Here is a 13542-nt window from a genome sequence, read left to right as displayed (position 1 = left end):
CTCTCATCTGACGTGGCGGGGATCAGAGACCAGCAGTTAAAGCCCTGCCCGGCATCTCTTGGCCGCCCCGGACATCCGCATGGCTGTCTGCAGAGGGAGGCTGTCTGATAGTTCACAGTGCCTCAACAGCACGGAGCTCCTCGTGGCCAGACTGTTGGCAGCTGCCTGGCATGGTCTCCCATCACGTGAAAAGGCTGAACCTGCTGTTGATAAGATTTCTGTTAGCAATTCCATGAGTCTGGGTGTTCTCCTGGCCCCGCCGGGGACCCATTTTGACTTGACATTTGCTTCGGGTGCCCCTCGCTGTGGTTCCCCAAGCAGACCTGTCCCTACAAACCAGCCGGTGGGTGAGCAGAGCCTGCGGGTGCCCGCAGGACACGCCAGGCCGACTGCAACCATAGGCACCAGCCCACCTCCCGTCTGCTCAGCGCCGCCCGCCCGGGGAAGGAACTGCTGAGGCTCCTGCCGGAAAGCCGCGGCTGTGAAGGAGCCAGTGCTGTTTCTCCGACACCAGCAAGGACCCTGAGTGCCTCCCACACGGGAAGGCGGGGTACATGTCTCGTCAGAGGCAGGCTCTGATTCAGCCGGTTTAGGGGGCCGAGATCCTGCCTCCCAAGCCTCATCTGAGGAAGGGGGTCTTAAACTACCTCGGTCAATGCCCGCCCTCGTTGGACTCATGCCTACCGGCTGGGCTACCTGATGGCAGCACCCGTTTGTGTCTGAGCGACCTCACTGGCAGCAAGGGCCCCATGGCTCCTTTCCTTACCACCAAGAACATCCCTGACCAAGCGTTAGCCCTAAGATATCCCCATTCATTACAAAATTACCCATCCGTGGACAGGCGCGCAGTACTCAGACACAGGTGGCCGTCCCTGGATGCCCTGCGTGTCCTCGTCCTGCAGGCCCTACCACCCCTCCCGGCCCCCAGAGCTCATGCCTGTCGGCACAGCCCCATCTGCTCCCTTCACTCCCGCCCCCACGCCTGCCAGGGCTGCAGAGAGACGCGCCTCCCACGACAAACAGCCCTCCGTTCGCGCTGCCCTCCAGGTGCCTGCCTGAGACCCACTTCTTCCAGAAAAGCAGCCCCCAACCATCAGACAAAAGAACAACAAAGCTGCGCAGATCCTCCCGAGACATTCAGAACCCAAGCACCTGCTTTTCACCAGGGCAAAACCCAGCACGCTATCGTTTCTGACCGGCCTGTTCCTACCAGCATGACCCATGAGTGGAGGCACCTGCACCTGTGACTACAGCCATGCAGCCCCAGCCGCACGCTGGGCAGAAACCCCGAATCATAGCTCGGCCACCCGCCCCCCACACACTTCCTGTGCGCCTGGCACAAGCAGGGCTCAGCCAGGCGCTGAAAAGGGAAAGCTGAGCAGCCTCCTGCCTGTGGCAGCTGAGAACTCACTTCCCTCCTTTTCTTCTCATGCCTACAAAAACACCAATTTTTCCCTTAAATTATCGAAATCTCAACATTTAAAACACACTTTTGCAAAGTGGAATCTAACAACTGGCACTGGCCTTGGACAGACCTGGAAGTTGTTTTTGTCACCTCTCCCCAGGGAAGATGCGGACACAGCAACCCTTTGTGGCAACAGTGGATAGTCCCGAGAATGTGACATCTAAGGTGACCTCATCCCCAGAATGTACCACAATGCCCCCCAAATTCCCTAAGAAAGCCCGGCAATCCCATCCCTCTAACTAGGAATTCCTAAGGAAGAACCTTCAGAGGCCAGCTGTGTACCCTGCACCATCCCAGAGAACAGGGGTGGGGGAGGAGGGTCCCCTCTTCCGCGGTTCTGCTTGGGGTCTCGGGAAGCCTCCTGGACTCTCAGCAGAACGAAAACCACTCAGGGCTGAGTCCGTGCCCCTGTGGCATGTGGCCCGCGGGGTCACCCAGCTGCCTGGGCAGGGCTGAGGGTGGAACAGCCTCTCCACTTAATCACTCTGAGATCTCCCAGCTGGGTCAAAATCCATTATTTACAATCTGCCCGGCGCTCACTTTGAGCGCACGCGGAAGCCAGAGGTCTCTGCAGGCAGAGAAGGGGGGACCCATGAGGCTCCCGCAGGGAAAGGACTTCCTGGAATTCTCCAGGCAGGTCGAATTGCTCCCAGACCCTTTGGAGGAGGTGACAGAGGGGGTCCCCGCAGCCCCTGCTGTGTGGGGAGACCCCGGGAGCCAGGCGCGCGGGCGGGGGCTCCACCGGTCACTCCGAAATCGCAGAATGCCCCAGGGTCTCCGGGACTTGTGGGTTTAGGGGAACGTTCGGGACGCGGAGCGGGCCCAGTTCACCTGCCGGACGCCCCCTCCGTCCATCCGAACCCGGGAGCCCCGCAGGAGGGACCCTTCTCGTCCCCAGTGACCACAGTCCGGACCCGGGCTGCGCTCGGCGGGCAAGGCTGGGAGCTCCCCGGGCCGGAGGACGGGGCGCATGGGCTCCGGGTTTGCAGAATTCGCGGCTGCGGGAGCTGGGTCTTCTCTCCCCCAATTCGGGCCGCGCCCCGGCTGGTCGGAGGAGGCAGAGTAGGGGTGCGGCCGTGTGTCCGAGCGGGAGTGGGGCGTTCATCTCCGGGGAGAAGGGGGACCGGGAAAGGCGCAGCGCGCCGAGCATTCGCCCACACCCCGCCCGCTCTCCGCGCGAGCCGGGTGCGCCCCCAACCGAACCGGGGCGGGCGCCGGGAGAGTCGGGTTTTCCCGAGACCCGCGCCCCTTCCTCGCCTTCGGCTCACCCGGGCTCCCGCAGGACCAGCGCGAATAGACGGGGCGATCCGCGGCCGAGACCTCCATCCACGCGCGCGGCGCGGCCAGACCGGCGAGCGCCTCCGGCCCGACGCCCCCCTCGACTCCCGGACTCTGGGCGCTGAGCGGGAGGGGGAGGCACCAGCCCCGCCCGGCCCCGAGCCGCCCCCGCCCCCTTGGCCCGAACAGGGGGATTCCAAGGTCCCCTTCGACCCTCCCGCGCCCGCGCGCACCGCGCACCCGGAGAAGAAGCTGCGCGCGGAACCATCAGACAGGAGCCCGCGCCCCCCGCCCCACCGCCCACTGCGGCCCCGGCTCCTTCGCCGCGGACCCCCCACCCCCGGCCCCACGGCGCGCTCAACTTTACCTGCGGTCCAGACTCCGCGAGCTCCGGGCTCCGCTTACCCGGCCGGCGGCCTCCTCGGGGCGGAGCGCGGCGTCTCTGGAGCCGGCATCCCGGACTCCGGCGCCGCCCCGCGCACCGCCCCCGTCCCAGCCTTCAGTGGCGCGGCGCCCCCTCGCGACATCCGCGGGTCCCCAGGAGCGAGCCGACCCTCGGCTGGGTTTGGAGCCGGGGCCAAGTCCACTCGGAGGGAGCACGGAGCCCACCCAGCTGCCCTTGGGGGCAGGAGGCCCAGGCCCCACTCTGCACACCGCCCCCACCAGCGCACGCCCTGGCAGGGGCACACACGCTCACACTCACACAGGTGCACACTCACATCGGCAATCTGTGCAACTCATACGCTCACTGCCACACTCATAATCACACACACAGGTGCACACACATCGGCAATCCGTGCAACTCACACGCTCACTGCCACACATAATCACACACAGGTGCACACTCACATACTCTCATAACCCCAGTCATTCATACTCACGTACATGCATACACACGCTCATAACCACATTCATCCAGGCACACATGGATACACTCATACACACACGCATGCACACTCACACACAAACACTCTCAATGTCATTCCAGAGGCACGGGCTGCCTCCTGCCTGCTGTGACCACTCCAAAGCAGCCTTTGGGGTACAGGGGAAGAGACGAGGAACCCGGCCCAAGACTCTGGAAGGACAGGACTGTGGGTTTTCAGTCAACAGCCAAGGCACTTCTCGTTGAGCGGATCCCCAGGAGACGCCAGCTGTGAGGACTCCGGACGCTTCTGTGGGATGGATCCTGGAGCCGCAGCGGAGCCTCTAGTGAGTGGATGTTTCTCATTTGCATCCACAAAAAGGAAATGTTCCTCTCCAGCTCCAGCCGGAGCACCAGGTCTTGGAAGGGAGGCTCTTCTCCATGGAAACATCTACCGGATTCAGAGCAGGAGGTGCCTGCACTGCTGCCTCTGAAAGGGCAGAGGCTGCTTTTTGGGGGGGCAGCTGGTGGTTAGCGGAGGCCTTTGAGGCTGAACAGATCTGCCCCTGGGGACATTGCCCTGGGGATCCAGTGGACGTTTGCAGCTGCAGGAGGCAGAAGCAGCCAGGACCCCTTTATCTCAGAAGCCCCTGTTAAATACACTCATTAGAAAAGTAAACGAGATAACTCAGATTGCGCTGTCTGTGCTGGAACGCAGGGGTTGCCCTACAGCTGGTGGTTTGGACGTGGGGGTCTGAAGGGTTTCTCAGGCTGTGCATTCTCTGACCTCGGTCTGTTCTTCTTGGTCCAGTTCAGCCCTGGCTGCCTCTTTCAGACCCTGCACCTTGACCCAGTCTCTGGTGGCTGTGACCGTGCAGAGTGCAGTCAGCCCATCACCTCCCTTTTGCAGACTCTATATCTACTGATCCAACCAAAATGCTCACCAGCCTTTCCAGGCACCACATCACGTTTCAGACAGCCCTGGCTTGCTAGTCAAAGCTCTAGGTCTGTGCAGTTGTTGGGTTTTTTCCCCCATGATTTTCAGTTACTTGATTCTTTAAAAGTCTAGGTTTTGTATATTACAATTTGTCCCTAGTACATTTTATTTCGGTAGTTTTTATTAGGTTAAACTTTTTCATGAGCCTTGTCAGATGTTTCAGAATCTTAATTCTGTTATGCAGCTTATTAGCTTCCTTCTCATCTGAAGCCATTGGACAACTGCTCAGTCGAGCTGGGCCATCCAAGTCATCAGCATAATTCATGTTTCCAAAAAAAGGGGTCACACCGGCAAGCCCAGGCCCCCGAGCACTGCCTGGACGCCAGCTGCGACTCCACGCCCACCCTGCTGATTCATTTCCCATTTTGTTTGGGAGGATGTCAGTGGAGACTTTCAGAAATCAAAATACAATGAATCAGGCATCTGAACTAGTAAACCTGCCAATATCACACAAAAAAGACAACAAATAATGTGGTCTGTTTAATAAGTTTTTTTTAGTATTGGCTAACGTTCACCAATCTGGGGGGGTGGTGGTGCTGCATGAACCCCGTCAGCCTGGAGTGGGGAAGGTCTGTGTACCCTGGACCGAGGTCCTAACGCGTGGTGCCTCAGTTTCCTTGTCTATAATAGCAGAACGCACTTCGCTGTTTTACTAATTAAATGAGACAACGCTAGGACATGTCTGGCTCACGGCAAACAGACAAACAATGATCATCATTGTTTTAGGTGCTTGCAAAACCTGTCACAATCTGGAATGTTTCCAGAATGCTGAAACACTGAACACATCTGCAAACTGAGTCTTGAAAATGGGACCTTGAACTTACAGCGAGGACGCAGTGCGGCATCCTGCCCAAGGGCAGTTCACACCTGCACAGCATGCGGATGAAACACGTCCCTTGACAGGCGATTTGTACAACCCATTTCCTTCTCCCTGTGATCCTGTAAATCGGTCCCGTGTCTCTCGGACGTGGGCAGGCCTCGTGTGTGTTTTTCTCCCCCTGTGATCCCGTAAATCGGTCCCGTGTCTCTCGGACGTGGGCAGGCCTCGTGTGTGTTTTTCTCCCCCTGTGATCCCGTAAATTGGTCCCGTGTCTCTCAGACGTGGACAGGCCTCAAGTGTGTTTCTCTCCCTCTCTGATCCCGTAAATCAGTCCTGTGTCTCTCAGATGTGGACAGGCCTCAAGTGTGTTTTTCTCCCCCTGTGATCCTGTAAATCGGTCCCGTGTCTCTCGGATGTGGGCAGGCCTCGTGTGTGTTTTTCTCCTCCTGTGATCCCGTAAATCGGTCCCATGTCTCTCAGACGTGGACAGGCCTCAAGTGTGTTTCCCTCCCTCTGTGATCCCGTAAATCGGTCCCGTGTCTCTCAGATGTGGACAGGCCTCGCATGTGTTTCCCTCCCGCTGTCATCTTGTAAACTGGTCCCATGTCTCTGGGACGGGGCCTCGTGCGTGTTCCTCGTAACTCGTCTCTGTGCTCTTCTCCTCTCCCTAAGCCGCAGCGTTCCTCACCGTGTGCGTCTCCTTCCTGTTCATGGTTCCTGTTGCTCCATCTCTGAACTTTGGATGTTTCACGTGTTCCCTTTCTTCTGATTGTTGTTGACAGCAGACTTAGGCAGACACTGAGGGTGCTGGGCCTTCCAGATGCTCAGGTCCCAGGACCCCTGCACTGTGATGTCCTAAGCAAGCACTGGTGATGGGCTTCAAGGATACAAGGATGCGGGGACAGGGCCACAGAGGGTGGGACTCGCTCCCGTTCATGCTCATGACTCCCCTTTCTAAATCACACACTCACTGTCACACTCACAATCACACTCACACAGGTGCACACTCACATTGGCAATCCGTGCAACTCACACACTGCCACAGTCATGCACATGCATCCACACACTCATACCCACATTCATCCAGGCACACATGGACACACTCATACACACGTGCACGCTCACACACACACTCTTGTACTGTGGTCATCCCAGAGGCACAGGTCCCAGGTGACGCGCCTGCACCTTCCTGTAGCTTCTCTTTTAGGAAAGGAACAAACACTTTAAGATGTTTTTTGTCTGTAACGCATGCTCATTGTAGAAAATGTGTGAACTTTTTGTGAAAAACACAAATAAGAAAATAATAAATCACTTCTAACTCCCATCTTCATCATCCAAACTTATCCCTGTTAACATTTTGGCACTGAAACACTTTGGTCTCTTTTTTTGTTGTTTTTGTTTTTGTTTTTGTTTTCTGAGACAGGGTCTTGTTCTGTGGCCCAGGCTAGAGTGCAATGGTACGATCATAGCACCTCCTGGGTTCAAGTGATCCTGCCACCTCAGCCTCCTGACTAGCTGGGACCACAGGTGTGCCACCACACTCAGAGAGTTTTGTTAGTTTTGGGGGAGACACAGTCTCACTATGTTGCCCAGGCTGGTCTTGAACTCCTAGGCCCAAGCAATCCTTCTGCCTTAGCTTCCCAAACTGCTGGCTTACAGGTATGAGCCACTGTGCCTGGCCTACTTTGGTCATTTTTTATGTAAAAATAAATTTTGGTTTATTATACAAAAATCGCATCATAAATATACACTGGGCAGGGTATACACACTGCACAAAAGGAAATACACACTTTTCATTTTTTCCAACACCATTTTAAATAGATCTCCATCCTGGGGATGCTGCCACACTTTAACTGAAACTCTATTATTTGACATTGATGTTTTCTCCAATTTTCAACTATCTTAAAATACTCTGCCATAAACATCTTCACAGACAAATCTTGACCCACTTTCTTGACTGTGGTGACATTGCTGAATCCCAACCAATGTATTATTAGAGGAAAATCCTTGGTGTGAACATTACAATTGAAATTTTATTTCTTCAAAAAAATAGACTAGGCACAGTGACTCCTTCTTGTAATCCCAGCATTTTGGGAGGCTGAAGCAGGAGGATTGTTTGAGCCCAGGATTTCAAGACCAACCTGGGCAATATAGCACAACTCTGTCACTACAAAAAAAAAAATTGAAAAATTGGCTGAATGTGATGGCACATCCCTGTAATATTAGCTACTTGGGAGGTTGAGGTGGGAGGATCACTTAAGCCCCAGGAGTTGGAGGCTACAGTGAGCTGTGATTACACCACTGGACATCATCCTGGGTGACAGAGAGAGACCCTGTCTCAAAAAAAAAAAGAAAAAAATTAAAAAGAAAAAAGAAAAGGAAAGAAAGGAAGAAAAGAAAACGAATAGCAAGCCTCTGTGTCCACTGGCTTATCTGTCTTGGGTGCTAAGCCTCTTGGGCAGGGGCACCTTCTTATCTGTGTCCTTGGGCCTTGGCATGGGCCGGGCTCTGAAGCATGCTGTCCGCAAGTGTTCACTGAAGGTGGAAATGAGGAAGTGGGTGGTACTGTCATAAACTTAGATGTCAAATTACTTTCTTTACTAGTATTTTCCAAATTAGTCATTTTCTTCTAGACATTTACTATAATTTTCATATCTTGGCTGATTTTCAAAATAAGATGATATATTCTGCAGCTTTTCCGAGATAGGATTGACACCATACAAGTCACCCATTTAAGTTGCACCATTCAGTGGTTTTCAGTTTATTCAGCGCGTGCAGCCGTTGCTACATCCATTTTAAAGCATTTTCACCACCCCACCGAGAAACCTGTGTCCCTCAGCCCTCCCGACCTCCGCCCGCTGCCTTCCCCGTGCGTGGTACTGAGGGGACCCAGGAACTCACCTTCTGCAGTGCGGGAGGAGCTCCCACGGACGTCAGTCCCCGGGCTTCTGTCTGTCTTTCGGACACGTTCATTCTCCTGAACATCTGCCTGGCTCTCTGCTCTCTTCCTTTTTTTCTGTTTCTTGTTCATGGGAGACAGGGGCCCGTTTCTGGCATCTGCAGCCTCCCTCTCTGCGTGCTGAGGGGAAGAGGCTGTGGCGTGGCGGGGCTTGTGGCCCACTGGGCAGCTGCTCGAAACGCGCGTCCTTCTGTTTCCCGGTCCCTGATGTCTCGCCCGCGTTTATAGTGTCGTCTGTGTCCGTGCGGTTCCCCCAGGTGCCCGCAGGCCCATCCCTCTCCCAGGAGGCGGGTGCTGCCCCCGGTACCTCTTCTCAGCGCCAACCGGCTTTGACAGCAGACGCTTCACCTCACAGGGAACACAGGGTCTCTCTGCAGCTGTCTCAGGCCTCCTCCTCTGTTCATTACTTTAATCTCTACCCTAAATTCCCTAACTCCTCATTTACTGTGATTCTACTTCCTCATCTTAACTTGAGCTCCAGATGGGAAGCGGTCCACTGAAACCCGCACACGTTCACTCTGCGAGTCCCTGGCTGCCGAGTGCATTCTTGGCGAGGGAGACGACTGTGCTCTGGGGTCTCGGACCCACGTGTGGTGCAGAGGATAAGACCACCTTCCACTCGGCTAATAGTGTGCTCCTGAAATTTGTGTAAATTAAAACGTTGGAAGTGGATTCAAACGTATACACGACTCTGGTGGGCTCTCTGACGAACAGCTCTTCATGCCAAATTCTTTTGTAACGCGAGCACTTGCGTTCTTACCGAGCTGTTGGCAAGGGAGCAGTTTCATACGTTCAGTTATCTCAGCCCAGGGGGCATCCCAGCAGTGACCTGCACCTTCTGTGATCACTTCCTTCCCTCTTGCTGAAAGCAAGCTGCATGTGGTTGAGGCCAGCAAACAATGCTATGCGGTTTTCATATTTCTGAACGTTCCTAATCAGTGTCCTTAATGGACAGCTTACGTAACGCTTCCCGATAGTGCCTTTGCTATTACGAAACGTTCCTGATGCAGCAAGCAGCCGGCGCTTCCTCCGAGCATCTCACCGTTTCATTTAAACCCACAGTGGAATGCAGACGTCCTTTCTGTCTCTGTCAATTTTGTGCTGTGAATGTAACATTCCATTTCACTACTGTCACAGTTCTGGGAAATGGCCTTGGATTTGATGAGGAAACCCCTGTAAGTTATTTGCACTGTCCAGCCCTGCACCGTGTGCTGTGAAAGGTTGTGGGTGACTGGGGCTTCCTTTTGCTCCCCAATTACGTGGCATCCATGACATTCTCAACAGAGATATTTCTCTTCTGTGAATGGAGTGGTTTACCTTTATGTAGTTCAATAAATATTTGTTCACATGTTGTGTTAAGCACCTACCCAGTGCCGTGTGCCAGGCGCTGCAGTGCCTGGACATTCACCAGACACAGCCTCTGCCCTGGAGAGGCTGGAAAACTCTGTGGAAGAAAACAACAACCTATGTAATTAGCTGCATTGAAAGCCACACTCGGGAACAATATGATGATAAGACCCAAGGCCAGGAGGTGCTGCTGTCATTGCTCAGGAAAGATAATGGCCCGACAGTGTCAGCTCCTCCTGTAAAACGTGCTTGAAATTCTACCAAAAACACAGGCTGCCACCCCCTGCCCCCTACCAACTTCGATCTCCACAGAAAATTTGTTCAGATCATAGAGGCAGGAGGCAGCACTGAGAAAGAGGGAGAATCAGAGGGAGAATGGAGGGAGAAAGTGCTAGAGAGAATGAGAGGGAGGGAGAGAAAACCAGAGAGGGAGAGAGAGAGGGAGAGAAGGGGGGGGGCAGGGAGGGAGAGAGAGGAGAGAGGGAGGGAGGGAAGGAAGGAAGGAGGGAAGGAAGCAGTCCCGTCTGTCCCTCAAACCCCGTTAGAGCAAGGAGCCATTCTCAGACGAATAACAAGCCGCAGGCATCTTGGCCTGCCTTGGAAGCAGCCACCTTCCCGGTAACAAGTCAGTGCATCAGAGCAGGTGCATGGAGAGAACAGGTGTTTCCTGCAAATGACAGTGAGGGTGGCGCGAAAGAGGCTCAGTGGAACGGGTGAGGCAGAAAGTAAGGGACTCAGCACCCACAACGGTGGTGGCCCAGCCTCCTGGGATGGGACTGGGTTTTGGGTCTGCATGTGGGGACCGGGTTTCAGGGTCTGTGTGGTTTCTCCCTAACTGGAAAAGACTTGCCTCCTTCCTCCACTCCCAAACCCTGGACACTCTGGGCCAGCACAGCAGCCCCTACAGGTCTGAGCTCCGTCTTCCCCTGTCTCCCGCCTCCTGTCCACCCCTTCAAACTCTCCAGCTTCTCCCAGAGGACGCCACTCCGCGGCAGGTGCACAGTCCTTTGTGTGCTCATCTTTTAAACATATGCTGCCTCTCCGTCCATGAGTGGCAAGACCGCTGCCTATAAGGACACGTGCATTTCAGGCAGAAACGCGCTTACGATGGGAGGCTTCCTCCATGCGCTGCCGCCTCGCGTGGGTGCTAACAGCGCCCTTGCACCGCATCCTCGGAAGGCCCCGCCACGCTCTTGTGTCTCCTGCCCGTTCATTCTTGCAGGACAGCTCCGGCACCCGGGGCTTTTGGCGGTGCTCTGCTGGGGAGCGGGATCACTAGTCTCCGGGGCCCAGGGTGAACGCAGGAGTCCCCTGGTCTGACCACACCAGTCTACGGCCTCGCACCTGCCCATGGTGAGAACCGCAGCTCCACAGCGGGCGCCATGGAGCCGTGCTCCCCGGGACAAGGAGGGGCACGGACGTCCCCTTCCTTGGCACAGGAGGCACCTCTGAGCAATTTAGGAATTTCTGTACTTCTTATGAGACTAGAGTCTGGTCATGGCCTCTGGAATACCAAGGACAAGACGAGGTCCCTGCGCAAAAAGCCTGGGGCCCGGGAATTTCCCGCAGCGGCCCCTGTGGAGGCTCCTGTCCCCGCCAGCGTCCAGCCCGCGAGCCCGTTCCTCATTCTGCCTCTCGCGTGTGCACCGCGCTGTGCGCCCGTGGCTCTAAGGCCTGGTCCGTGGATGGGCTGCTTTCCTTGCGGGGAGCCTGAGCCGGCCGGGCTCCAGGGCCTCCTGTGCCGCTCAGGGCAGTGCTTGGCCTGTTCACGTCTTGCCCCCGCGGCGGGGGGCATGCGGGGCCCCCTGGGAGCAGCGGAGCCGTGGGGTTTCCATCCTGGGAGGGCACGGAGGTTCCGTGGGAGGTGCCTCGCTCAGATTCTGTGGTGAGCCCACCCGTGCTGCTGACTCACACCCGTATGTGCCTGTGTGCCCAGGTCTGTGAGATGGGAGTGCGTGTGCAAGTGTGCTTGAGTGTGCGAGTGTGCAGGCGTGCACGTGTGAGAGTGCGTGTGTGCACGTGTGTGCATGTGTGAGTGCATGCGTGTGTACGAGTGTGCGTGCATGTGCATGGTGTGAGTGTGCATGAGTGCGTGCATGCATGTGGGTGTGGTGTATGTATGTGTGCATGCACGTGTGTGCATGTCTGTGCGTGCATGTGTGTGTGCGTGCGTGTGCATGCGTTTGCATGTGAGTGCGTGCCTGTGTGCATGTGTGCGTGCATGCATGTGTGGGTGCGTGTGTGCATGCACGTGCATGTGAGTGTGCGTGAGCGTGTGTGAGTGTGCATGTGTGAGTCTGAGTGTGCATGTCTGTATGTGTGAGTGTGCATATATGTGCGTGCTCTCTCACCCTGCCTCGCCCCAGTGTGTGCAGCGCTGGAACCAGGCGCCCTCCCGAAGCCTGGGCTGGCGTTTGCGCGGTGCTGCTCTCGGGCGCTGCCAGAGCAAAGGCCACGCTGTCTGTGGGAGAAGCCCCGGGGCCTGCACCTGCCCTGTCCAACCACCGGGGCTCCGGTCCCCAGAACCCAGAGACCCCGAGCCGGGCCGACACAGCATCCCACAGGGACGCGGCGACCGCCGCCGGGGAGGGCCCATGAGGAGCAAAGGCGAAGGAAGAGCAGCCCCTGCTCCTGGGGGTGGCCGGGAAGGGCGGGGCGGTTCCCTGCGCGGGGGGCCAACGGGGGGCGGAGGTCATTCGCACAGGGCAGACCCACCTGCGCCCTGGGTGCGACCCCGAGTGTTCCGAAGAAATGGATTAATTTCACCTTTCATTAGCAAACTGGCCATATTGTTTCTAAGCGGGGCGGGGCTGCCGTCCGGATGTGAGCCGCATGTTTTCTCTCCCTCGCGAATCTCCTGGGTGGAAGCAGCCCCTCCCCAGCGCCACCGTGGAGAAGGAATGGGTCCTGCGGCCCGCGGCGGAGCGGGGGCTGTGCGGGGTTCCACGCGCAGGGTCCCATCCACCCGAGGAAAAGGGGCTTCCGCAGAAAAACCCACAAAGGCAACGGGGGCGGCAGCTGAGCCTCGTCCGAGCTGGGCCTGCCGGGCGGGAGCGCGGGACAGGCGGGCAGAGGCCGTGCGGGCGCCGCAGAGGAAACGCGCCCCCTCCGCGTCCTCAAGCGGGTCCACCGGGCCGGCGGGGCCTGCGCTGTGCGCGGGGATCTTCTGCGCTCCGGGGACGCGGCTCGCGGGCGTCTGCGGCCCCGCTAGGAGGGACCCGGGAGGCCGCGGGTTGGACCGGGCGCCCGCGTGGCGGCCCCTGCTCTGAGCGCTCGGGCAACCCTTGTGCGCCGCGAAAACCGGGAGCGCCTCGGCCGTCAGCGGCTTCGCGACAGCCTCGGCCCGCGTCCCCCACAGCCGGGACCCCGCTCTCCCGGGACCCCGCTCTCCCGGGGCGGCCTTCGCCTGCGTCCCGCCTCCCCCGGGTCCGGGGAAGCGCCCGCCCCGCGGCGCGGACCCCGGCGTCTCCTCCCTGGCTGGGCCGCCTTGTCAGGATAACACGTTCTAAATTAGCCTGTGCTCCGGGAATATTTGAGAGGCTCCTTCGCGGAGGACTAAAATAAAAGTGACAAAAAATGTAAATATCGAACATTGGAAAAAACTGTTCAAGCTCACTTATAATTAAAGAATGCAAATTAAAACAATGACACTTTTCCCGTAAAATTAGGCAAGTATCTTCTAACTGCCCCGGCTATCCGGTTCTGAAATTCTCTCCTAAGGAAATAAACGAGAGCCGAGAAAGTATCGGTCCAAGAACGTTAACAGGCATTACCTCCGCAGTATTGGAAAACTGGGAACCGTGGAGATGTCTGG

At 56.8% G+C, this 13542-nt stretch overlaps 1 protein-coding gene across 1 annotated transcript in view, besides 3 other annotated features; it reads right to left on the bottom strand.

The window, feature by feature from the left end:
- The window catches only part of KCNG2 (potassium voltage-gated channel modifier subfamily G member 2), a 102163-nt gene extending 98976 nt beyond the window's left edge, over nt 1-3187 (bottom strand). The window contains exon 1 of the mRNA NM_012283.2: nt 3111-3187. The gene's annotated coding sequence lies outside the window, so the exon portion shown is untranslated. The remainder of the gene's footprint in view (nt 1-3110) is intronic.
- Nucleotides 3137-3376: a silencer, noted in NCBI's record as "silent region_9577". NCBI's record gives its function as "represses an Ori minimal core promoter by ATAC-STARR-seq in GM12878 lymphoblastoid cells {active_cell/tissue: GM12878}" and the evidence as "EXISTENCE:reporter gene assay evidence [ECO:0000049][PMID:35858748]".
- Nucleotides 3137-3904: a biological region, named in NCBI's record as "H3K4me1 hESC enhancer GRCh37_chr18:77557221-77557817".
- Nucleotides 3308-3904: an enhancer, noted in NCBI's record as "H3K4me1 hESC enhancer chr18:77557221-77557817 (GRCh37/hg19 assembly coordinates)". NCBI's record gives its function as "activates a minimal SCP1, AML or CMV promoter by ChIP-STARR-seq in naive H9 embryonic stem cells {active_cell/tissue: H9 hESC(naive)}" and the evidence as "EXISTENCE:reporter gene assay evidence [ECO:0000049][PMID:30033119]".

Source organism: Homo sapiens, chromosome 18, assembly GCF_000001405.40.
Source record: "Homo sapiens chromosome 18, GRCh38.p14 Primary Assembly".
Lineage (NCBI taxonomy): Eukaryota > Metazoa > Chordata > Mammalia > Primates > Hominidae > Homo > Homo sapiens.
The sequence above is the reverse complement of the archived record's forward strand: the minus strand, read 5'-3'. Positions and strand labels throughout refer to the sequence as shown.